This window comes from Homo sapiens, chromosome 3, assembly GCF_000001405.40.
Source record: "Homo sapiens chromosome 3, GRCh38.p14 Primary Assembly".
NCBI classification, from domain to species: Eukaryota; Metazoa; Chordata; class Mammalia; order Primates; family Hominidae; genus Homo; species Homo sapiens.
In genome coordinates, this window is record NC_000003.12 from 121144938 (window position 1) to 121172182 (window position 27245).

Consider the following 27245-nt stretch of genomic DNA (forward strand, 5'->3'; position numbering starts at 1 on the left):
TCAGGTATCTAAAATAGTCATATATATAGAATCAAAGAGTGTAATGGTGGCTGATGGGCTGGGGGAGGTTGAAATGCAGAGATACTAATCAATGAACTTAAAGTTTCAGTCAAGCAAGCTTGATTGATGTATAAACTTTAGAAATCTGCTGTGCAACATTGTATCTAGAGTCACCAGTAATGTACTATATATTTATAAATTTGTTAATAGGGTAGATCTCATGTTCAGTGTTCTTACTACAATAAAATAAAATATTAATGGAAAAATCTTAAATAAAATATTAGGAGACAGAATCCCACCAGCACATTAAAAAATAATTAATTATGACTAGTGGTGTTTTACTCCAGGGATGCAAGGATAGATACTATTACAAAATCCATCAATATAATTTATATCGCTAATAGGTCTAAGAACAAATGATTATCTTTATGATGCTGAAAAAGTCTTTGAATAAAATTTAGCACCCATTGTATTTCCAGTTTTGATAATCAGATCAGTCCTTCCACTGGGAGAATTCTATACTCTACAAAAATATAATTTAAAACATGTCATCAAATTATTTTCAGCAAACAAAATTTGCAACAATTCATCAACATCAAATCTTACTAAGGAAAAACCTAAAAGACTTGTTTAAGCAAATGAAAATGATCTATTATATAAGAACAGAGATGAAGAAAAGAATAAAGAACCACAAACGTGTTAAACTAAGGAAATATTTTATAAAAATAATAATGACTTCTTGCAGTGTAATATATTGAGAATTATGATACAAGTTGGGATGACGTTCACTAAATTTAATTGCCAATGTCTTTATGATGGTTAATTTTACACACCAAACTGACTGGATTAAGGAATACTCAGAGAGTTGGTAAAACATTATTTTTAGTATGTCTGTGAAAGTGTTTCCAGAATAAATGACCATTTGAATTAGTAGGCTGAGTGAAGAATATCTGCCCTCACCAATGTGAGTAGACATTATCCAGTTTATTGAGCTTAGGATAGAACAAAAAAGACGAAAGGTGAATTTGCTCTCTCTACTGGAACTGGGACATCTATCCTTTCCTGCTTTTGAATATCAGCTCAAGGTTCTCAGGACTTCAGACTTTTCTTTCCCAGGCCTCTCCCACTTCTCTGGTTCTCAGGCCTTCAAACACAGACTAAATTACAATCCCAGTTTTCCTACTTAGTCAGCTTATAGAGAGCATATTGTGGAACTTCTAATCCTGCATAATTACATGAACCAATTTGCATAATAAATTCCTTCTTATATAGCTATACAGATATATATCCTATTGATTCTGTTTCTCTGGAGAACCCTGACTAATACAGTCCTTATAATTTCCAGAAAGTAGCACAAGTACTAATTTACATTATAATTTGATAAGTCATGAAAAATTTTTATTCTGGTGGGTAAAATATAATAAATGTATGTATAATGGATAAGTTAATAGAGTGGAAAATTAGGATAAGAAAAAACTACTAACCAACTCCCTTCCCAAAAAGAGGGAGGACACATTAACAAATGGGACAAATACAAGATAAGTAGGTAGCTTTGTTCTAAAATATGTCAGCAATTATATTAAATGTAAACTGACTAAATAGGCTAATTACCAGACAATAATTTGCAAACTGCTAAAACAACAATATGCTGTTACAAGAGATACATTTTAAACTTACAGATGTAGAAAAGTTTAACGCAAAACTGCAAAAGGATATAGTATGTAAACCATAACCAAAGAAAACTTGTGTAACTATACTAATATCAGAGGATACAGACTTTAAGGCAAAAACTTTTTTAAGGATAATATTTTATAATAGAAATTGGTTAATTCAGCAGAAGATGTAATAATCCTAAATTTGTATATGCCTAATGATGACATAGATTTATAGTATACAGGTAGTGCTTACTTTGCATGGTACCACGTTAACTAAAACATGTGCTTATCTGAATTGTGTTTTCATTTTGCATGGAATCATGATGTGTGTGTATGTATAATTTGATAGAACTAAAAATATTTTTAAAATTGGACAGAACTAAAATGAAAAATACTCAAATCTACAATTGTAGTTGGAGATTTTAACAAACCTCTTCCAGTCACTGAGAAAACAAACAAACAAAGAAATAATTAGTGTGGATAAAGAAAATTAAAACCACATGATTAACAACTTAACCAAGTTGACACATATAATACATTATGTATATAGTACTAGCAGACCACACATTATTTTCAAGTGCTTATAGAGTATTTGCCAAAGTTGTATATTTGCTGAACCAAAAAACATGCCAATAAATTTCAGAGGATTAAAATAATACACAATATGTTCTCTAACCACAAGAGAATTTAGCAAGATTATCAATAAGAAAAAGATAAATGAAAAATCCCCTAATTGTTTAGTCATTAAGTACTACACTTCTGAATAGCTTCTATGTCATAGAAGAAATCAGTATAAAAATTAGAATATATTTTAAACAAAATTGCAATAACAATGTGACATATCAAAAACTTGTGCAATGTAGCTAAAGCTGTGCCTCCAGGAAAATTTATAGTTTATATTACATTTCTTAAAAAGTGAAGAAAAGCTGAAAATCAGTGATCTTAGTATCCAACCCAGTAAGCTAGATAAACAGTGAATTAAACCCAAAGAAAGTAGTAGAAAGATAACAATAAAGATATAATGGTTAATTTTATGTGTCAACTTGACTGGGCCTTGAGGTAACCAAATATTGGTCAAACATCATTCTAAAGGTTTAGGTGAGGATGTTTTGGTTGAGATGAATATTTAAATCTGTAGACTGAGTGAAGCAGGTTGCCATTCCTAATGCGAGTGGGTCTCATCAATCAGCTGAAGGCCTGAATAGAACAAAAAGGCTAACCCTTTTTCAAGTAAGAGAGAATTCTTCCTGCCTGACTGCTTTTGAACTGAGACATCAGCTTTTTCCTGCCTTTGGACTCTAACTGAAACATCGGCTCTTCCTGGTTCTTGAGCCTGCTGACCTTCAGACTGGAACTATACCATTGGTTCTCCTGGTTCTCAGGTCTTCAGACTCAGACTGGCACACCATCAGCTCTCCTGGATCTCCTGCTTGCCAGCTCACCCTGCAGATCTTGGGACTTGTCAGCCTTCATAATCACGTGAGCCAATTCCTCATAATAAATATCTTTTTCTATACATAGAAAAACATCTCTTGGTTCTAATTTTTCGGAGAACCTTAATTCAAAAGATGAGAGCGGAAATTAAAAGAATAGAAAACAAAAATTTAGTACATTAACAAAACAGTTATTTGAAAATACTAACAAAATTGATGCATCTCTGGCAAGTCTGATCAAGAATGAAAGAGAAGGCACAAAAAATCACAACCAATTTATGCTCCCCCTAGTAGTACAGTTGGTTTAACTTTTCAGAATCAGTCAATGCAATTCACAGAAATAAGGAGAAAAATATATGGCAATAAAAATAGCTAATAAGCAGCATTTAATAAAATTTACCTTCTCTTCATTATAAAAATCTCTTGGTACACTAGGGAAAGAAAGGAATTTCATTAATATGAACTTTGTTAATTTTCCCAAAGCTATGAAAACATCCTCCTTAATGATGAATTAATATTTTTCCTCCTGAAATGATAAATGAGACAAAGATGGCTATGATTTATTCCTTTAATTTAACATTGTACAGCTATTCACAATATTGGTCATTAGATGAGAAGGAAATGGAACTCATATACATTTTGTGAAAATGAAAACATGAAGTGGTTGGTATAACCACTTTGGAAAACTGCTTGGCAGTATCTATTAAAGTTAAACATACTAATATCCTATGGATCAATATACATTTAACAGAAATGCATATATGTATTTACCAAAAGATATGTACAAGGTTGTTCATGGCAGTATTATTACATCAACTGTAAAATGAATAAATTAATTTGTGGTAGTGCCATAGCCAAACAATGAAATGCTATTTTAATAATGAAATTAAATTAACTAATGCTACAAATATAATAGAAATAGAAGCAAGAAAGAGAGCAATATGTATTGTATAATTCTACCTGTCTAATTCGAAACAGGTAACAGTAGCCTATGGTGTTAGAAGTCAGGATAGTGGTTATTTTTAGAGAGGAGAGTGGGAATATTAACTAGGTAAGAGTACGAAATAGGCTTCTGTGAATGGCTTGTATTGTTTTTCTTGTATTACTTGTCTTCTATTGTGTTTTTTAACGTGGATTGTAGTTTCATGGGTATGTTTACTTCATCATAATTCATTAAATATACATCTATAATCTGTGTACATTATATATATTTCAACAAAAATATTTATTTTAAAATTAAACACCTATTCCTAATAAAAGAAATGTATAACATATAAATCAATTTATACTTCTTTAAATCTCTCTCTCTCTCTTTCTATGCCCTCTCCCTCCCTCCCCAGAATTCAGGATCTTATTTAATGGGGAAACACTAGAGGCATAGCCACCAAAGTCAGGAAGAAGGCAAGGATGCTTAGCCTCTCTACTATTTTTAATACTCTAGGATGATTTTTAGCAAAGCAGTTAGATAAATACAAACAATTAGAGACATAAAAATTAGAAAAAAATAAAGTAGTCTCTATTTTAGATTATATGATAATATATCTGGAATGGCAAAGAGAATCAACCTTAAAATGAATACAAACAAAATAATTTAGAAAGGTGTATACTAAAATCTAACTATAGAATTAATACCCTATTAGAAAAGGTAATGAAGAGAAGAACCCATATAAAATAGCAATAAGAAAGTTAAAATAACTAGGTATAAAATTAACAAGAAAATCAATATGTGGAAAACTTTCAAACTTCCTAAAAGATATAAACATATACTCGAATAAATAAAAGGTGGTATCCTTTGCTCTTGAATAAGGTGGCTCATTATTTTTAATTCTGCTTTCTGAGATTTACTTTTTTCTTTACTTTTCAAAGTCAAATGCTTATATCATTAAAACATTTTCAGTTTTTCTTCTCTACGTACATATTTACAAAACCATAAAATTTCCTCTTAAGATTCATCTGTGTCTTGTGAGGCATTTTTGTTCAGTTCTGTTTTATATATTTCATTATGATTTCTTCTTTGCTTATTAATTACCTACAGATATATTTTTTAGTTTTCAAAATATTTTTGTCATGACTTCTAATTTTATTTTACTGTGGTTAGAATATAATATCTACAATTTTGATTTTTTGGTATTTAACAATTAATTTGTTATTCACCAAATACCTATTTTTTTCAGACACTAGTGTAGGTTCTAATGATATCATGGTGAAGAAGTAACCCTACTTCTTTGCCTTTATGGTACTTGCTTCTATTGTGAGAGACATTTTCTGTTTAAAAAATATGTATATATAATTTGTGGTTTGGGCATTGTTCCTGTTTTGGTGTGGTCAAATATTGCAGAGTGCTCTTATTTTTGTCTTGGTTCCTCATGGTCACAGAGTGGCCTTGTCTAATGTCTCCTGGATGTCAGGGGGATTCTTTTCTCTTTTCTAATTCTCTAACTGATTCTAATATCATGTTTTCTAAATCATAATCTTGTATACTTATCTCAACAGTTTATGGTGTTTTTGAGGTTCAGTATGTTATATTTTGTGATTTACTGGGGCTATTGCTAGCAATGTTTTATAAGCAAATCAACTTTTATCTTTCAGATATTTACTTTAATAAAATATAATAGTGTTTTAGGATATTATTTTATTAAATCTTGGGGCTCAAATTTAGAAAGATTATATTATTCATTTTATTGCTTAAGTTATATTTTCTAAACTTTTTAGGCTAATGAATCTCCTTGCCAATATCTCCTTGCCAAGAGTCTCATACACTCAATAAAGTTGGTTTTATTGGCTGGGCATGGTGACTCATGCCTGTAATCCTAGCACTTTGGGAGGCCAAGAGGGGCAGATCACTTGAGGTCAGGAGTTCGAAACCAGCCTGGCCAACGTGGTGAAACCCCATCTCTACTAAAAATACAAAAATTAGCCAGGTGTGGTGGCAGATGCCTGTAATCCCAGCTATTCAGGAGGCTGAGGCACAGAATCTCTTGAACCCAGGAGGCGGAGGTTGCAGTGAGCAGAGATTGTGCCACTGCACTCCACCCTGGGTGGCAGAGTAAGACTCTGTCCTCTGTCTCAAAAAAAAAAAGAAAGAAAAGAAATTGGTTTCATCGTTCATCATTTTCTCTTGTATGTAAAAAAAATCAATTTGAAGTTAAAACATATCTTAGTACACTTAGTACAGTCATATCAATTTTATTTTAAGAAATATTACTCAAATATGTATTTAGTTTTGACATTTTCACTTAGCAAGTCATATATGCCATTTACTTCAAGTTAACATGTAAAAAGCTCAATTTTTTGTCATTTTTAACATTTATTGTGTGTGGTTTAATAACCAAGCATTTTTGTTATAGCTTCAAAAATAAATGTATATTGCTTTAATGAACTGATATTTGAAACCTTTTGTGTTTTTACTGCGAAAACTACTAGCTGGTTTACTTTTGTTATTTTTTGTGTCTCATTGTAAGATGTCGAGATAAGTGATAAGGTCTCAGGATGCTCTGCAGGCTTAGGTTATCACCACCACTATATTTTCTGTTCTTACCAATGGTTTTTTGAAGTTATTGATACATCTTTATCCAGTGTATAAGAATTTTCATCAGAGGAATACTACTAATGTATTTGAAGAAAATCATCTTAAGGCAAATCTGTCAGAAATATATCATTATTTTAACATTGGCTATTTTTATCCTTCCTCTTATTTTTTTTCCCTAACCAATGATAGGTTAAATTTTCTGTCATTGGTAACAAAAAAATAGGAAGGATACAAATAATAATTGTGAATCATTTAACAGCAAAAGTTATCAGTATGGCTAGCATTGTTTAGCTTAATGACTGAGTCTTAAAGATGATCATATTATAATCATGATATGTTCTAAAATTCTTCTATTTTAAAGAAATATTTTATTAATCATCTTATTTATTGATTTAAAAATAAATATTAATCTTTTTAATGACGTGAATCTCTAGAATAACTTTATAATCTTCAGAGGGTTCATAAAACATCAGTTTAAAATATTGAATTCGGTCAAAGAGAAAATAGGATTTGGTAGAAGAAATTTGAAGCCAAATTTGAAGCCACATTTCTCAAGTGCATAGGACTGAATGGCATATACATAGTTCATTAATCTTATCCCATTTCATGTTTTATTTCATCTTCGTTTTCTATCCCATTTTTCTTTTCTTCCAATTTTCATACTTATTTTATATCATGTCATATATATTTATATTCTTCCTTATTTCCTCTTTGAAATTAGGTGATTTATTGGTAAGTGTTCATATTGAAGCAGAGTTTGCCATTTTTTAAATGTAGAAAACCTATATTCAAGTTCTAGAAAAATTTATTCTAAATAAGGATGTTATGTGGTATGATTTTACTTTATTAACATTAAACTTTATTTGAAGCAAGTTAAAATTAATGTTAGAATTAAGAAAATGATTGTTCTAATGTTTTCCAGCTGCTAATAGGTTATGAAAATGGTACTGTAGTATTCTGGGACTTGAAATCTAAAAGAGCAGAACTGAGAGTTTATTATGATGAGGTAAGTGATTTCTACCGACATGTTTGAAAGAGTATTGTGACGTTATGCCTGTTTACTACTTTTAAGCTTTGCACTTTACCAGTATGTTTAGCCTTGGAAAGTTGCCTGATTCTGACCCAGTGCTTCACACTGTCTTTTAGTATTTGTGTAAGTTCCATCTCTAGATTTTTCTTTTAAGAGGAAATTCTGCCTTGACTGCCTATTTCGGGGCCCTCTTGTGGCATCTTATATACTTTGCATTTGTTAATAGATCCTGCCTTGTCAATCTTATATACTTGGGTGCCTGTCACCTGTACTATATCCCCAACTTTGTCTCAACTGCTTTTCCTTTCTGTAGGCTCCATGCTACGTTGTGCCTCATTGTCCTTAAGGTCTCTAAAGACACTATTCACACCTTCCTTAGAAAATTCCTTTTCAGTGGCAAGAAGTTCAAGTCAGTTTGAAAGGTCTTGTCTTCTAATACTTGCCTTCTTAGAATAAAGAAAAATTTTGTAAATAGTAATACTTATTAAGTGACCAGATATTAATAAGTGACACTTATTAAATGACCAGATCTTGAAGTAAGTTTTATTGTATGTAATTGAGACTTGATTAAGTTTGTATTTAGGGGAAGCAACAAACTCCTATTCATCAAGGAATAATCTCCCAGTTGACACTTCAGTTGTTCAAATATTAATTCCGGGCCATTAATTATTTTTCCATTCAGAAGAGGCTAATAAGAAGACCGTAAAACTGGGGGCAACAGATTAAAAGGGAAATTACCTTTTGTACCTGTGGAAACAAAGGTGATCATCTGTGCTATTAATTCAATTTGAAAATGGTGGGAGTAGGAAGAGATAGGAGGAAAATATATGTCAAAAATTTATGTCCAGTAAAACCTAATCTTATATAGGAAAAGTGCCAAATAATTTAAAGCAGCACTGAAATAATTAGAAAATGAAACACACACACATTTATTTTAGAACACTTCCTTATTTTATCATTGGAGGGATAAAAAAAGTCTCCAGATGAACCTGTAGTCACCCTAGAATACTTTACATGTTCTCTCCCATCCCCCTCATAACAGTTAATTTTTTAAGTTTCGGTGCTTAAAGATATAAGCCTTCACCTATTTCATAAGCTGCACAATTCGTTATCAGTCATTCTCATAGTGGTAAAAAAATGTTTAGAAATAAAATAAAATGGCAGCTGGGTAATTTTTTCACAATTGGTGAAAAATAATCTGATAAGTAATATCATGCAGTTATGTTCTTTATAATCAAATTCTTCAGCATCTTGAATCATAAGAAAAGAAGGTCTTAGGGAGCTAAGCTAGGAGTTTCCTTTTGTTATACAAATCATAAAGATGGGGATGGATAGTGCTCCTTCTCTTCCCTCTCTCAACACTAGCAGCTAAATAAGAATACAAACACCATGGGAATATTTAGCCAGTTGGAATTAGAATAACCAGCTCAAAAGAAAACCCAGAGGAAAATGCTGAATCATCTAGCTTTCCTATGGCCTTAAAAAGTATGGAAGAAACGTTTTGAGCCTTAAAAAGAGAGTAAAATTTCAGTGAAATTTTAAAATAAGGATTTGCAGCTGCCTTAGTACAAATATATGTAATTTATACCTAGAAGTTATTGACATCTGATATATGTATGTAAATATATCATCTTTATCTACTTTAATGTGTCATTATATGCTCTATTGTTTTAACAGAGATAGTTAAATACTTCATTTCACTACCAAACTTTTCAGCCTCTCCTCAGCACTTTACCTCTCATATCTAGAAAGCATGCTTAATACTTACCTGAAATGTTTTTTCTTAAGTCACCAATAAGCTCTTCATTACTACACACAGTGACCTCTTCCAAGCCTTTAAATTCCTCACTAAACCTGTGGCTTTACCTCAGTTTCTCCTCCTTAAAATAATTTATTCACTTGTCTGTGTCTTTCCACCTCATTTATCATGCACCTTTTTCCATAACTGATTTTTCCCTTAGCTCTCCTTTACGTTATTGATATTCTTCAGGATATTATGTCTTTACCCTCATTTCTTCTCTCTCTAATTTATACTTTCTAGTGTTTATATTATCTCTTATTTCAAATATTACCTTTATGCTAAAAAAAGAACATCCATATATCTGTAGCCTTTACCTCCCTCTTGAACTCTAGATCTAAATATCTAACAATATATTAGATAAATCCAGCAAAATATCCCATTGGCACTGAATTTGTATTTAAATATCTAAACCTCCTTCTATGTTTTCTTCTGGTTTTTAAGTCTTGTTTAGTTAATTCAGTTTAGACCCCTCAAAGTAATATTTGTCTCTTCCATCATCGTGTTGTATATGCAATCAATTTCTGCAGGCTTTCTGATTCTGATTTTATATTGTCTCATTTATTTCCTCTTTTCTAATTCCCACTTCCAATGTCCTAGTTTAAGTTGTTATCTTTTGCCTGGATGACTATAAGAGCATTTTAACTAATCACAACCACTTTTCCTTTGATGTCTTACCTCTTCAATATATCCTTCATTAACAAGATTATCATTTTAAAACAGATTATGGAATTCTCTACAACAGAACCTTTGAATAGCTCTCAATTGTCGACAATACACAGTCCATATTGCTTGACTTGAGATTTAAGGTCCTAGTGCTATCATTCCTCTTTAGTTAAATTTACAACATCCTTCTACACATTCCCCACATTTCAGACATATTACTCACTATCTTCCATATATAACACTTATTGCTTATCTCTGAGCCTTTGCTCCTTCTAACTTCTCATCATGAACTGCCTTCTTTCCTCTTCTGTATATCAAAATTCTGTTAGGTCTTTAGCCCCTGTAAAACTATTTAGACAATTTAACTAGCCTCTTCATAAATAGCCATTGATGAATGGATATTGTTATCCAGTTTTTTGGATTTCCTTCTTCTTTCATGTGTTCAAGAAACTCAGTCTCAGCCACTGAGTTGATAAAACTAGCTAGTATTTTATGTTTAAAATTCTGTTTTCTATCTCTTAAAATTCTTTTTGGATTAGTTGTATTATATTTGTTTTTTTCAGTAAGCCCTCTGAGCCCCCCTCCCTTTTTTTGAGAAAAGAGAGGGGTAGAATCTAATAAATAGAAATTGAATATTTATCCATCAAGTTAGATCAAATGCTAGCTACTCAGTAATGCACTATATGAGACCCTGATCTCTAATAACAAGTTGGTTTTACATGCTTGCTTTTCTAAACAATAAATATACTTCTTTAATAGTACTGACTTACTTTGGCTTTATTTAGCTATTGTTTTTATATCTGTCCTCTCCAGTAGATAGAAATTCAGTGAAATAAGAAAGTTTAGGGTTGAGAGTGCCTTTTCTGCCTCCATCTTTGATGGCAAAACAGTTTGAGACAACTTTAAGTTAAATGAGGCTCATCAAAGTTAACATGTAGGGGAGGCAAGAAGATGTGACTTTCCCTTGAACCACCTACAGAAGGGAGAAGAAATAAGCAGAGGAGAAGAGAAAAAAAGTATTTTATCTCTAACTTCCTCTGCTGGACCCTAGCAAAAAAGAAATCTCTGCTTAGTAATGAAGGCCACAGAGTGAGAGAAAACACAAGTCCAGGATTTCATGTTGCTTTTTCCACTTAATCAAATCTTATTTTCTTGATTATATGTGTAATAATTACTTTAGCCATCAGTTATCTGCAACTCTAATAATACTGATTGTTTAGAACTTTTATCAGTTATGTATGTGTAACTTAGTTTGGAAATTTTAGTTGTATGTGTCTGTGTGTGAAGTTTCAAAAAATAAATATGATTAGTATTCACTTATATTAATCTTCTCTCTCTTGCTGTTTTATAAGTGTCTTTAAGGAAAAGATGTTGTATGCTTCTTTTCTGCCTTTATGTCTACTAGAATTTTTCTTATAGTACTTAGTACTTTACCCAAGTTCTGTATGTACTTTATTAATTTAGAAAGAATACCAAGGGTGTGGAAATGCATATGACATTAATTACTAATTCAGTCAACAGATATTTATTGAGTACTTACTTTATGCTGGTCACTATGCTAGCATTGGGAATACAATAGCTTGGGAAAATGAAATACAGTCAGCCCTCCGTATCCATAAATTCCATATCCTTGGATTCAACTAACTATAATAGGAAATATTTTAAAAACAAAAAATAATTTTAAAACAATATAATAATTTATAATAATACAAATAAAAAGACAGTATAGTATAACTACTTACATATCATTTACATTCTATTAGTAATCTAGGGATGATTTTAAGTATATGGGAGGATATTCATAGGTTGTATGCAAATAGTATGCTGTTTTATATAAGGGACTTGAGCATCTGTGGATTTTAGAATCTGAGGGAGTGTGGGAGTTCTCTAACTAATCCCCAGTGGATACCGAGGGATGGCTGTAATTACTTTTGAATCTTATCTGACTCAAAACTACAGAGTTAACCTGAAAATATAAAAGAAAATTTAAACCTTTCTTGCTTTAAATTGATTTAAATAGTATATGCAAGAGGGCAATACAGTGCAATGATTGAGAACGTTTTTCGTAGTTAGACCTTGGTTTTGAGTTCTGTGACTTGAGCAAGTATCTCAATCTCTCAAGGCCTGTTTCACCATGTGTAAATTGAAAAATCAATACACTTTTTATAGGATTAAATGAAATAATGTGTATAAAATGCTTGCCTTGGGGTTTGGCACATAGAAAGCCTTCAGATGGTAGCTCTTACTTAAATTATTCTTTTAATTGGCTATGTGAGGAGGAAATAGGACTTCATCTTACCAGAAATTATAGTCTGATATGGGTCAGAAAAATTATGTTTTTTAAGTGTTGTTAGTATAATAATTTTATATCAGAATAGTTTTTCTTTGGAATATAGAATGATATAACCTATCTACTTTTTTCCCCCTCTACTTGTTTTAATTGTTATTTTATTAGGCTATTCATTCAATTGATTGGCATCATGAGGGCAAACAGTTCATGTGCAGCCATTCAGATGGTAGTTTGACTTTATGGAACCTGAAAAGCCCAAGTCGCCCTTTCCAGACCACAATTCCACATGGTAAGATGTATGCTTTCAAAAGGAATAAACACTGGCAATTCAGTGCCTTGACTTGAAGTAAGAGAGATGGTATTAATGCGTTTGGTAGAAAAAAGTAATAGGACATAGCTTCTGGTTCTAAACATCCCTTTTATACCACCTACAGATCCCAACATTGTACCCCAAACTTTCCATACTTCCCTTCTTCCTACCAACCCACATCCCTGTTTTGTAAGCTGTAGTTATGTACTGTCCCAACCAAAAATTGGATAATGGATGGTTGATATATCTGGGGCAGAGGAGATAATATAGGAAATTTTGTCACTTTTAAGGGCTGAGGAGCCAGTGAGAGAATGGCACTATTTAGATGTGACTTTCAGAGTTAATTCCTATACTACTTTATAGTCTGTTGTTTTCTAGATTCTCCCACTTGTTTCCATTTCTGCCATTTGATTCCAGTAAGTTATGAAGACTGTGGTTTTAATTTTAGGTTTTACTTTTCTTATTGCCTTCCACATTGAGAAGAGCATTTTAATCCTAAATGAGGATTTTAATCTTAATTGAGGATTTATATTGGATCTGTATACCTAATGGGGAAGAATAAGCAATTCAAATGTATAAATATATATAATTCAGATGACTAAATTATTTGATAATATTGGTGATGATCTGAGTTCTATGTTTACCTCATATCATTGATTATTTGTAATAATAGATATGTCAGAAACTAACAGTTGATCAAACATATTCTATGTTACAGTTTCTGAGCGTTCGTTATCATGTCACATTTGGAAAGTAGTGGTATGTTTTCTGTAATGGGTGACCCATAGATCACAAGCATTCTTAGAATTATTTCATGCTGTTTGTCTGCCATTTTTTTGTACCATAGTTACATGCTCCATCAGTAAATGATCAAATTATTGCAACATTCTTCCAGGATGTAAATGTTTTAGTCTTTAGCTGGTTTACTTAGAGATTACTTTACATTTAGATGCTTACTTAGAGATGCTTTATTTAGAGATTGCCATTACAGAAACCTTGGGTAGATATTAGCTATACATACCACTCAGGATTAACTATTTATTTCTACGATAGGGGATAAGTTCTGTCCACACACCCCCAGCTAACCCCCAATACTCATGCCTTTTATATGTAAAAGTATAATATGAGCTAGTCATAAATTTTCTACTTACTTCCTTATGTTCTTCTCAAATATCAGTTTCTATTAGTTCTTTTGGCTAGACTGGACATTTGATACTTTTATTTTTTTTACCATATCCATATTTATTTCATCAGTTTGGATTGTTTTCTATTATTCTGCTTTTCTGTTGAAATAAAGTTCTGTTTACAGGTTGTTCAACACATCAGCCTTGATGTCTTTTATAACATATAAAACAGGAATAGATTATATTCCTGTTGCCTCACAATAACATAAGCACCAGTGATTTTGATAATAGAGGCATTTATTGTCATCTATTGACATTCTTTGGGTTTATTTTTTTCCCTTTTGTTTTAGCCATTTTTATTTTCTAAAATAAAACTTTTCTCTAAGTACCACTTTAGATATATCCTATAAGTCTTTAAATGTAATATTATTAATCATATATAATTTTCATTAATATTTAGTTTGAGATATTTTCTATAATTCCTATTATAATTCTCCTTTGACCCATTAGTTATTTAGACATGTGCTTTCTAATTTCTAAACATTTTCATTTTTATTATTTGTGTTATTATTATTAATAAAAGATGGGTCTTACTATGTTGCCCAGGCTGGTCCTAAGCTTCTGGAGGCCTCAAGTGATCCTCCCTCTTTGGCCTCACAAAGTGCTAAAATTATAGGTGTGAGCAACCACACCCAACCTCAATTTCTAAGCATGTTTTTTATGATGGATTTTAAAATTGTAGCCAGAGAATATGACATAACTAGTTCTACAAAATCTACTGAGATTTGCTTTATAATCAGTGCAGAGCCAATTACCATAGCATTCTAAGTGTGCTTGGGAAGAATGTACATTTTCTTTTTTTTTTTTTTTTTTTTGAGACGGAGTCTCGCTCTTTCGCCCAGGCTGGACTGCAGTGGCGCTGTCTTGGCTCACTGCAAGCTCCGCCTCCCGGGTTCACGCCATTCTCCTGCCTCAGCCTCCCGAGTAGCTGGGACTACAGGCGCCCGCTACCATGCCCGGCTAATTTTTTTTTGTATTTTTAGTAGAGACGGGGTTTCACCGTGTTAGCCAGGATGGTCTCGATCTCCTGACCTCGTGATCCGCCCGCCTCAGCCTCCCAAAGTGCTGGGATTACAGGCGTGAGCCACCGCGCCCGGCCGACATTTTCTAATTGTTACATAAAGGTCAAACTTGAAATTGTGTTTTTCATTTTGTATGGTTTAAATTGTTGCTAATTTTTTGTTCTGATATTTCAATTCTTAGAGAAGCGAGTTAACATTTCTCTTATAATGGATTTTCCTTTGTAATTCTGTTCATTTTTGTTTTATGTATTTTAAAAAACAAATAGGTCAGGGTAGTTGATGGTGTTTTCCAGATTCCCTGTAATTGAACTGATACTTGTCTAGTGCTATCAATTGCTGAGAGAGTGCTATTAAATTTCCTAATATGATTATAGAAGTGCACGCTTCTCAGTTTAATTCTGCCCATTTTTGCTTTATTTATTTTGGGGATCTATTATTAGGCATCCATTACATATCCTATAAAGAGCATAGTCCACCTTTTGTATACACAGATTCTTCACCCAAAGATTCAACAAAACCAAAGATCAAAAGTGTTCTGAGAAAAAAAATTAAAAATACAAAAATTTAAAATAATACAAATAAAAAGAAACAATACAGTATCACAACTATTTGCATAGTGTCACACTGTATTGCATATAAGTAATCTAGAGATGATTTAAAGTATACAGGAGGATGTATGTAGATTATATGCAAATATTATGCCATTTTATATAACAGACTTAAGCATTTGTGGATTTGGGTATAGGAGGGGGAGTCCTGGAATCAACGGATACTGGGAATAACCATAGTTGAGTCTTGTGCTTTTATCTAGTCAGAGTTCAATCTATTAATATTAAATGTAAGTACTGATGAGATTGAATTTTGGCCTACCACTTTATTATTTGTTTTGTGGGTCCCGTCATATTTTTCCCTCTTTCCTCTTTTTGCCTTCTTGGAGGTTATTTCAATATTTTCTAGTAGAATTCCATTTTAATTTAAATATTAATCTAAGCATTTTATTTTCACATATTTTTTATTGGTTGCTCCAGGGATTACAATATACTTCCTTAACTATTCAAAGCCTATTAGAGCTAACATTGTAACACTTCACATAAAATTTGCAAATCTTGTAACCATGTAGATCTATTTCTCTTCCCCTACTGTCCTTTACGCTATGGTTATCATATAGTACATCCAAATATATTGTTATAATTTTTGCTTTAAATCATCATGTCTTTTTTTAATTAAGAGGAAAAACAGTCTTTTGAATTTTCTTTGCTATTTATCATTTTCATTTGTTCCTGAAGATACAAGAACATTATTTAATTTTTCTTGTAGGCCTAGTGGAAATGAATTCACATAGCTTACTTTATCTGGAAGTTCAGTTTTGTTTTGTTTTGCTTTTGCTTTTTTTTTTTTGCTTTCCTTTTTTGGAGGCCATTTTTCCTGGATTTAGATTCCTGAAGTGACACTTTGTGTGGGCATGTGTGTTTTGGTTTTAAGGTGATGAACACTTTACATGATCTTCTGCCTTCCATAATTTCTGAATGAGGAATCTGTAGTAGCTTGAATTTTGCTTCCTCTTTATATAATGTGTCACTTTTCTCCAATTGCTTTCAAAATTTTGCGGGGTATCTTTTATTTTCAGCAATTTGACTACTTTATGTCTAGGCTTGGTTTCTTCAAGTTCATTCTGTTAAGGGTTCTACCAAGATTCTCATATATATATATATGATATATAATTTGCTGGATCATCAGCTGTTTTACTCAAGATTAGCACTGTTGATGGCATTGTTCTTATAGCTGGTTGCTGCTGTTGCTGCAAACATCGATTTTTCCTATTCAATGATTTCAAATATGTATTTATGGTTTCAAATGTGTATTTTTCAATTGCAGTGCTACCAGTTACATATGCAATCATACACACATACATATACAACACATATCTATATATATGACATTAAACCAAATCCTATCAAATACTTAATAGTGAAAATTTTGCTCAGAAGCAGGACAGGGGTGTCCACAATTACCGCTTTTATTTAATATTTTCCTGGAAATACTAGCCAATATTATTAGACTTGAAAATGAAATATGATATTTAAAAATTTAGAAAGAGTATTCAAAATTTTAGTTTCTTATGATGCAATTAGACAACACAAAACAAAAATGAATTAGGAAAACTATTACATGTAACAGTAGAATTCTGTACACAAAACAAACAAAATATAATGGATGAATAGAACCATTTTAGATCACAGCACCCACAAGAATACATGGGAATAAGCCTTAATGTACATGTGAAGTATTATTTCTAATACAGAACATACAAGAGAAAACTTGAATAAATTAAAAACATATCATATGTATGCATACTAAATTCAATGGTATGAAGACGTTGATTTCCCACATATTACTTTGTAAATTCAGTTTGTTCCCAAGAAAAATAATTACAGGGTTTTCCCTGACAAAAATGTGCAATGGGGAAAGGGTTCCCTATTTAATAAATGGTGCTGGGAAAACTGGCTAGTGATATGCAGAAAACTGAACTGGACTCCTTCCTTATACCTTATATAAAAATCAACTCAAGGTGGATTAAAGACTTAAACGTAAGACCTAAAACCATAAAAACCCTAGAAGAAAACCTAGGCAATACCATTCAGGACATAGGCATGGGCAAAGACTTCATGACTAAAACAACAAAAGCAATGGCAACAAAAGGCAAAATTGACAAATGGGATCTAATTAAACTAAAGAGCTTCTGCAAAGCAAAAGAAACTGCCATCAGAGTGAATAGGCAACCCACAGAATGGGAGAAAATTTTTGCAATCTATCCATCTGACAAAGGGCTAATATCTAGAATCTACAAGGAATTTAAACACATTTACAAGAAAAAAATCAAACAACCCCATCAAAAAGTAGGCAAAGAATATGAACAGACACTTCTCAAAAGAAGACATTCATGCAACCAACAAATATATGAAAAAAGGCTCATCATCACTGGTCATTAGAGAAATGCAAATCAAAACCACAATGAGATACCATCTCACACCAATTAGAATGGCGATGATTAAAAGTCAGGAAACAACAGATGCTGGAGAGGATGTGGAGAAATAGGAATGCTTTTACACTGTTGGTGGGAGTGTAAATTAGTTCAACCATTGTGGAAGACAGTCTGGCGATTCCTCAAGAATCTAGAACCAGAAATAGCATTTGACCCAGCAATCCCATTACTGGATATATATCCAAAGGATTATAAATCATTCTACTATAAAGACACATGCACATGTATGTTTATTGTAGCACTATTCACAATAGCAAAGACTTGGAACCAACCCAAATGTCCATCAGTGATAGACTGGATAAAGAAAATGTGGCACATATACACCGTGGAATACTATGCAGCCATAAAAAAGAATGAGTTCATGTCCTTTGTAGGGACATGGATGAAGCTGGAAACCATCATTCTCAGCAAACTAACACAGGAACGGAAAACCAAACACTGCATGTTCTCACTCATAAGTGGGGAATTGAGCAGTGAGAACACATGGACACAGGGAAGGGAACATCACATAGTAGGGTCTCTCGGTGGATGGGGGGCAAGGAGAGGGAAAGCATTAGGACAAATACCTAATGCATGCCGGGCTTAAAACCTAGATGATGGGTTGATGGGTGCAGCAAACCACCATGGCACATGATTACCTATGTAACAAACCTGCACTTTCTGCACATACATCCCAGAGCTTAAAATTTAATAAACAATAAAACAGAAAAATAATTACAGGGTTTTTAAAATTAGATGAGCAAATATGTAGCAAAGATAAACACAGTATGAAAATTATTTAAACAAGAAGTACTGGTTAATTACAGGCAGTTTGGAAGGTTTGATGCCCTGAATGATTCTTACTGAAATAAATAAAACGTTGAATATATCATGTTTTTTTTTTTAATTTTAAATGTCACTGAGATGGTAAGCATGAGAATAAGGAATCTAAAGACTCCAAAAGAGAATGTTAAACTAGAAACTCTGAGAGATAAGTGACGATAGATTTTGTTCTAAATTTTCTGCTATACTTTGGAGAGCTTAAACTTTGTTCTTTAAAAAACAGGTTTATTGGGGTATAGTTCACAACAGCAATTTAAAGTATAAGCTTCAATGATTTTTTAATATATTCATAGTTGTGCAGTCATCAACACAATTCTTTTAATCGTTTAATAAATTTAGAACATTTTCATCACTCCCCCCAAAAACCCCATACCCACTAGCAGTTCATTTCCATCCCCACTCCTTCATCCCTAGGAAATCACTAATCTTTTTCTATCTCTTTATAACTCCATTAAAAAATGAGTGAAGGATCTGAATACACATTTCTCCAAAGAACACATAAAAATGGCCAACACGTATGTAAAAAGGTGCTCAACATCATTTATCATCAAGGAAATGCCAATCAAAACCACTATGAGAAATCATCTTACACCTATTAGGATGGCTGTTATCAAAAAGAAATCATCTCACACCTATTAGGATGGCTGTTATCAAAAAGAGATAACAAATGTTGGCAGGTATATAGAGAAAATGGAATCTTTGTAAACTATTGGTGAGAATGTAGATTGGTACAGTCATTATGGAAAACTAATAGGGTATGGAGGTTCCTAAATAAATTAAAAATAGAACTAAGATAGAAACCCAGCAGTTTCTCTTATAGGTATATACCCAAAGGAAATGAAATCACCACCCTATAAAGTTATCTGCACTCCCATGTTCATGACAATATTCACAATAGCCAAGATATGGAAACAGCCTAAGTGTCTGTTGACTGATGCATGGGTAAAGAAACCAAGGTATTTAAATACAATGTAATTTTATGCAGCCTTAAAAAGGAAAGATATCCTGTCATTTGCCACAACATAGCTGAACCTGGAGGACATTATGCTAAGTGAAATAAGCTAGACACAGAAGGAAAAGTATTGCATTGTCTCACATGTGAAATTTTTTTTAAAAAGTCAAATATACTGAGAGAATAAAACAGTGGTTACCAGGGGCAGGAGAGCCTGGGGGAGAAAACAGGGAGATGTAGGTCAGAGGATACAAAGTAGCAGATATATAGAAGAAAAAGTTGAAATCTAATCCACAGCATAAGGACTAAAGTTAATAAAATTGTATTTGAGATTTCTGCTAAGAATTTTAGCTGTTTTTGCCACCAAAAAAATGGTTAAATATGGGAGATGATGGATATGTTAACTTGCCTCACTATAGTAACATGTTTACCATCTATGTACATTCCATAACGTCATGTTGTATACCTTAAATATATACGATAAAATTTACTTTTAAAAATGAAGTGTTTCGGCTGTAGGTAAGGTTAAAAAAAGTGTATGCTTTAAAAGTTTGGAAGTTCCTTTAGTTTATATATGAATGTTTTTTCATCTTTTGCTAATCTCTGAATGCCTCCATTACACCCACATTATTGAAAGATGTTTTATCTGCATATATATAATTCCGCATTGGGAACTATTTTCCCCCAGCACTATGATGATATTATACAATGTTTGCCAGGCTACCATTTTATTGTTGGAAGTGTTCAGTCACACAATTTTCATTCTTTTGTGGTGATTCATCCTTTCTGTGACTTCTATTACAATTTTATCCGTACCTTTGATGTTTTATGATTTCATTGAAGTGGTTTAGGTTGGACATCTCTTTCCTTATCCTGCTTTTGTTGTAGGAAAAACTGGTTCTTATAACACGACCATGAAATGTTAGGCTCGCAGACACTTTGAAGGGTGAGAAGAGCAGGGTTTATTGGGTGAAAAGGAAAAAAAGGGAAACAAGGACTCTCAGCAAAGCGAGAGTCCTGCTAACAGGCTTCCTGTCTCACAGATTGGACCCCAGGTTACCACTCCCAAACAGAAGAGGTCAGGCTCCTCCCCACTGCAAATGGTGCGAACTTCCCGAGGCTCCACCCCAGTGTGCATTCCTCCCAGTGGGCAGGCCGGTTGGAGATTCTCCGGGCACCCCTTTATACTTGGCTTGTCTCATTTTGGAATACATTGGGTTTTTTTGATTTATAGATTTATATTTTTTATTTGTTATGAAAAGTTACCGCTATTTTCTCTTTAAATATCGCCCCTGTTCCATTCTATTCTCAAATGTATTTTAGACATATTAAGATTTTCACTTTTTTTTTTCTTTTTTTGAGACAGGGTCTGGCTCTGTCACCCAGGCTGGAGTGCAGTGGTGTGATCCCACCACAGAGGTGTAACCTCTGCCTCTTGGACTCAAGTGATACTCCCTCCTGAGTAGCTGGGACTACAGGTGTGTGCCACCACACCCAGCTAATTTTTATACTTTTTGTAGACACAGGTTTTCGAATGTTGCCTGGGCTGGTCTCAAATTCTTGGGCTCAAATGATCCTTCAACCTCAGCCTCCCAAAGTGCTGGGATTACAGGCATGACCACCGTTCCTGGCTTTCATATATTTCAATATAATGTTTGTTTCTGTCTCCTTGCTTTTCTGTACTGCATTCTGGGTAATTTTTTTCAGATATAACTTCTTTCACTAATTTTCTCTTCAGCTATGTATATTCTGCTTTTTGTGAAATTAATTTTCTTAATTTCTATAATTAGTTTTTGTTTCTAAAGTTAATTTTGCAGATTATAATTTTACATATTCATAATTTGCAAATCTAATAATCTTTTGGTCTTTGGGATAATATCCTTTATTTCTTTAATCATTACATACACATGTCTTCTATATTCTGGGTCCTACTATTCTAATGTCTGCATTTATTGGAAGTATAAAGCTGTTTACTGTTTCTGCTGATTTTTATCATAGTGTCTAACTTCCTTTTAGTGTAATGATATTGGGTTGAAAGGTCATTGCTCAATATTAATACATAGAGTAGGATTAGATTGAGGATTTTGAAAGTTTTTCAGAGAGAGTCTTCTCTTGCTTCTCTGACTTACTTAGAGATGAAACGACAAAATATCTGCAACTTATTCTCAAATAGCTCAGAAGTGAAATAATAGCATATAAAGAGAAAGAATATGATAAGGCAATTGTGGAAATAAAGAACTAGAGAACTTGGGTAAATGATATAGAAGAGATTTTTTAAGTAAATTTTCCTTAATTCTATATCAAAATAAAACTGTTCAGAAAAAAAACGAAGGAGCCTAAAAATATGCCAGACTAGAATTAGCAGTCTTTTGAGGATACCATTTCTGAAATAAAGGAGGATATGACTCTTGGAGTCCAAGTGGTAAAGAGAAACAAGGAAGCAAGCATTGAAAATAGAGGGTCCTCCAGAAACAAAAGAAAATTACAAAATCAGAACACATATCAACACCTCCACACACACATAAATGAAGTACAATTAATAAAACTGTACTTTGCCAAAATGAGAAGTTGCTCTAAACCTAAGAAATATAGTAAGCTAACCTAACTGCTTATGTGTTAATTCTGTTCCATAAAGAATACACATTTCAAATTAACAACCATTGGAATCCATCCTCATATAAAGATGGTATAAAAGAAAAAAGTAAATAGAAAATAAAGATATTTTAGCTGCTAAAAATTCTCATCAAAAACAACAACAGGTAGTTTAGATTTCACCTTCTAGATGTAGACCTGGAAAGAGTATAGATCCCACTTTAGGGAAGTGGCGTCTGCAATTTTTCTGAGGCTTGAGTAGGCTGTTTTCCCCTCAGAGTGTAAACAAAGCCACCAAGAAGTTCAAACTGGGTGGAGCCCTCCTTAACTCAGCAAAACATCTGTAGCCAGACTGCCTCTCCAGATTGCTTCTCTCTGGGCAGGGCATCTCTGAAAAAAATAAGACAGCAGCCCCAGTCAGGGGCTTACAGATAAAACCCTCATCTCCCTGGGAGAGAGCACCTGGGGGAAGGGGTGGCTGTGGGTGCAGCTTCAGCAGACATAAACATCCCTGCCTGCTGACTCTGAAGAAAGCAGTGGATCTCCCAGCACAGCGTTCGAGCTCTGCTAAGGGTCAGATTGCCTCCTCAAGTGGGTCCCTGACCCCCATGCCTCCTGACTTGGAGACACCTCCCAGCAGGGGCCAACAGACACCTCATACAGGAGAGCTCTGGCAGGCATCTGGTGGGTGCCCCTCTGGGACAAGCTTCCAGAGGAAGGACCAGGCAGCAATCTTCGCTGTTCTGCAGCCACCACTGGTGATACCCAGGCAAACAGGGTCTGGAGTGGACCTCCAGCAAACTCCAGCAGACCTGGAGAAAAAGGCCCTGACTCTTAGAAGGAAAACTGACAAACAGAAAGGAAGAGCATCAACATCAACAAAAAAGACACCCACTGAGAAACCCCATCTGAATGTCACCAACATCAAAGACCAAAGGTAGATAAATCCATGAAGATGGGGAGAAACCAGGACAAAAAGACTGAAAATTCCAAAAACCAGGATGGCTCTTCTTCTCCTTCTCCACATGATCACAACACCTCGCTAGCAAGGGAACAAAACTTGATGGAGAATGAGTTTGACAAATTGACAGAAGTAGGCTTCAGGAGGTGAGTAATAACAAGCTCCTCTGAGCTAAAGGAGGATGTTCCAACCCAATGCAAGGAAGATAAGAACCTTGAGAAAAGGTTAGAAGAATTGCTTACTAGAATAACCAGTTTAGAGAAGAATATAAATGACCTGATGGAGCTGAAAAACACGACACGAGAACTTCGTGAAGCATACACAAGTATCAATAGCTGAACTGATCAAGTGTAAGACAGGATAACAGAGATTGAAGATCAGCTTAATGAAATAAAGCGTGAAGACAAGATTAGAGAAAAAAGAATGAAAAGGAATGAACAAAGCCTCCAAGAAATATGGGACTATGTGAAAGGACCAAACCTATGTTTGATTGGTGTACCTAAAAGTGAAGGAGAGTATGGAACCAAGCTGGAAAACACTCTTCAGGATATTATCCAGGAGAACTTCCCCAATCTAGCAAGGAAGGCCAACATTCAAATTCAGGAAATACAGCGAACACCACAAAGATACTCCTCGAGAAGAGCATCCCCACGACACAATTGTCAGATTTACCAAGGTTAAAATGAAGGAAAAAACATTAAGGGCAGCCAGGGAGAAAGGTCAGGTTACCCACAAAGGGAAGCCCATTAGACTGACAGCAGATCTCGCTGCAGAAATCCTACAAGCCAGAAGAGAGTGGGGACCAATATGCAATATTCTTAAAGAAAAGAATTTTCAACCCAGAATTTCATATCCAGCCAAACTAAGCTTCATAAGCAAAGGAGAAATAAAATCACTTACAGACAAGCAAATGCTGAAAGATGCTGTCCCCACCAGGCCTGCCTTACAAGTGCTCCTGAAGGAAGCACTAAACATGGAAAGGAACAATCAGTACCAGCCACTGCAAAAACATACCAAATTGTAAGGATCATCCACCCTCTGAAGAAACTGCATCAACTAACAGGCAAAATAAACAGCCAGCGTCATAAAGACAGGATCAAATTCACACATAACAATATTAACCTTACATATAAACGGGCTAAATGCCCCAATTAAAAGACACAGACTGGCAAATTGGATAAAGAATAAAGACCTATCAGTGTGCTGTATTCAGGAAACCCATCTCAGGTGCTAAGATATACATAGGTTCAAAATAAAGGGATGGAGGAATATTTACCAAGCAAATGGAAAGTGGAAAAAAAGAAAAAGCAAGAGTTGCAATCCTAGTCTTTGATAAAACAGACTTTAAACCAACAAAGATCAAAAGAGACAAAGAAGGGCATTACATAATGGTAAAGGAATCAATGCAACAAGAAGAGCTAACAATCCCAAATATATATGCAACCAATACAGGAGCACCCAGATTCATAAAGCAAGTTCTTAGAGACCTACAATAAGACTTAGGCCCCACACAATAATAGTGGGAGGCTTCAACACTCTACTGTCTATGTTAGACAGATCCATGAGACAGAAAATTAACAAGGATATTCAGGACTTGAACTCAGCTCTGGACCATGCAGACTTAATAGACATCTACAGAACTCTCCACCCCAAATCAACAGAATATACATTCTTCTCAGCACCACACTGCACTTATTCTAAAATTGACCACATAATTGGAAGTAAAACACTCCTCAGCAAATGCAAAAGAACAGATATCATAACAAACAGTCTCTCAGACCACAGTGCAATCAAATTAGAACTCAGGATTAAGAAACTCAATCAAAACCGCACAACTACTTGGAAACTTAACAACGTGCTCCTGACTACCAGTCAGTAAATAATGAAATTAAGGCAGAAATAAATAAGTTATTTGAAACCAATGAGAACAAAGACACAACATAGCAGAATCTCTGGGACACAGCTAAAGTAGTGTTTAGAGGGAAATTTATAGCACTAAATGCCCACAGGAGAAAGTGGGAAAGATCTAAAATTGACACCCTAACATCACAGTAAAAAGAACTAGAGAAGCAAGAGGAAACATATTCAAAAGCTAGCAGAAGACAAGAAATAACTAAGATCAGAGCAGAACTGAAGGAGACAGAAACATGAAAAACCCATCAAAAAAATCAATGAATCTAGGAGCTGGTTTTTGAAAACATCAACAAAATAGACCGCTAGTCAGACTAATAAAGAAGAATAGAGACAAGAATCAAATAGACACAATAAAAAATGATAAATTGTATATCACCACTGATCTCACAAAAATACAAACTACCAGCAGAGAATACTATAAACACTTCTATGCAAATAAAATAGAAAACCTAGAAGAAATGGATAAATTCCTAACCACATATACCCTCCCAAGACTAAACCAGGGAGAAGTCCAATCCCTGAACAGACCAATTACAAGTTCTAAAATTGAGGCAGTAATTATTAGCCTACCAACCAAAAACAACCCAGCACCAGACGGATTCACAGCCGAATTCTCCCAGGGTACAAAGAGGAGATGGTACCATTCCTTCTGAAACTATTTCAAACAATAGAAAAAGAGGGAATCCTCCCTAACTCATTTTATGAGGCCAGCGTCATCCTGATACCAAAACCTGGCAGAGACACAACAAAAAAAGAAAATTTCAGGCCAATATCCCTGATGAACATCAATGCAAAAATCCTCAATAAAATACTGGTAAACCGAATCCAGCAGCACATCACAAAGCTTATCCACCATGATCAAGTTGGCTTCATCCCTGGGAAGCAAGGCTGGTTCAACATATGCAAATCAATAAATGTAAACCATCACATAAACAGAATCAATGAGAACAACCACATGATTTTCTCAATAGATGCAGAAAAGGCCTTCGATGCAGAAGAGGACTTTGATAAAATTCAACACCCCTTCATGCTAAAAACTCTCAATAAACTAGGAATTGATGGAACGTAACTTACAATAATAAGAGCTATTTATAACAAACCCACAGCCAATATACTCAATGGGCAAAAGCTGTAAGCATTCCCTTTGAAAACTGGCACAAGACAAGGATGGCATCTCTCACCACTGCTATTCAACATAGTGTTGGAAGTTCTGGCCAGGGCAATCAGGCAAGAGAAAGAAATAAAGGGTATTCAAATAGGAAGAGAGGAAGTCATATTGTCTCTGTTAGCAGATGACATGATTTTATATTTAGAAAACCCCATCGTCTCAGCCCAAAATCTCCTTAAGCTGATAAGCAACTTAAGCAAAGTCTCAGAATACAAAATCAATGTGCTAAAGTCACAAGCATTCCTATACACCAATAATAGAGAGCCAAGTCATGAGTGAACTCTCATTCACAACTGCTACAAAGAGAATAAAATACCTAGGAATACAACTTACAAGGGATGTGTAAGACCTCTTCAAGCAGAACTACAAACCACTGCTCAAGGAAATAGGAGAGAACACAAACAAATGGAAAAGCATTCCATGCTGACGGATAAGAAGAATCAATATCGTGTGAAAATGGCCATACTGCCCAAAGTAATTTATAGATTCAATGCTATCCCCATCAAGCTACCATTGACTTTCTTCACAGAATTAGAAAAAACTACTTTAAGTTTCATATGGAAGCAAAAAAGAGCCTGTATAGCCAAGACAATCCTAAGCGAAAAGAACAAAGCTGGAGGCATCACACTACTTGACTTCAAACTATACTACAAGGCTACAGTAACCCAAACAGCATGGTAGTGGTACCAAAACTGATATATAGACCAATGGAACAGAACCAAGGCCTCAGAAATAGCACGACACATCTACAACCACCTGCTCTTTGACAAACGTGACAAAAACAAGCAATGGGGAAAAAATTGTTTTGGGAAAACTGGCTAGCCATATCCAGCTAACTGAAACTGGACCCCTTCCTTAGACATTGTACAAAAATTA

The 27245-nt window shown here is 34.0% G+C and overlaps 1 protein-coding gene across 15 annotated transcripts in view, besides 1 other annotated feature; it reads left to right on the top strand.

The window, feature by feature from the left end:
• Positions 1 to 27245, top strand: part of STXBP5L (syntaxin binding protein 5L) — a 516557-nt gene that overhangs the window by 236733 nt on the left and 252579 nt on the right. For 13 of the 15 annotated variants that reach the window (NR_145516.2, XR_924217.3, XR_001740373.2 and 10 more), the window contains exons 8-9: positions 7540 to 7623; positions 12567 to 12690. Coding sequence is in view for 11 of the 15 variants with exons in the window: in NM_014980.3 (NP_055795.1) it covers positions 7540 to 7623; positions 12567 to 12690 (208 nt within the window). In the remaining 4 variants the exon portion in view is untranslated. Of the gene's footprint in view, positions 1 to 3037; positions 3135 to 7539; positions 7624 to 12566; positions 14032 to 27245 lie in introns of those variants that run through there. The other 2 variants (XM_047449249.1, NR_145517.2) reach the window with 2 other exon arrangements.
• Positions 20472 to 20672: a silencer, noted in NCBI's record as "peak4789 fragment used in MPRA reporter construct". NCBI's record gives its function as "represses an SCP1 promoter by STARR-seq MPRAs in K562 erythroleukemia cells {active_cell/tissue: K562}" and the evidence as "EXISTENCE:reporter gene assay evidence [ECO:0000049][PMID:32103011]".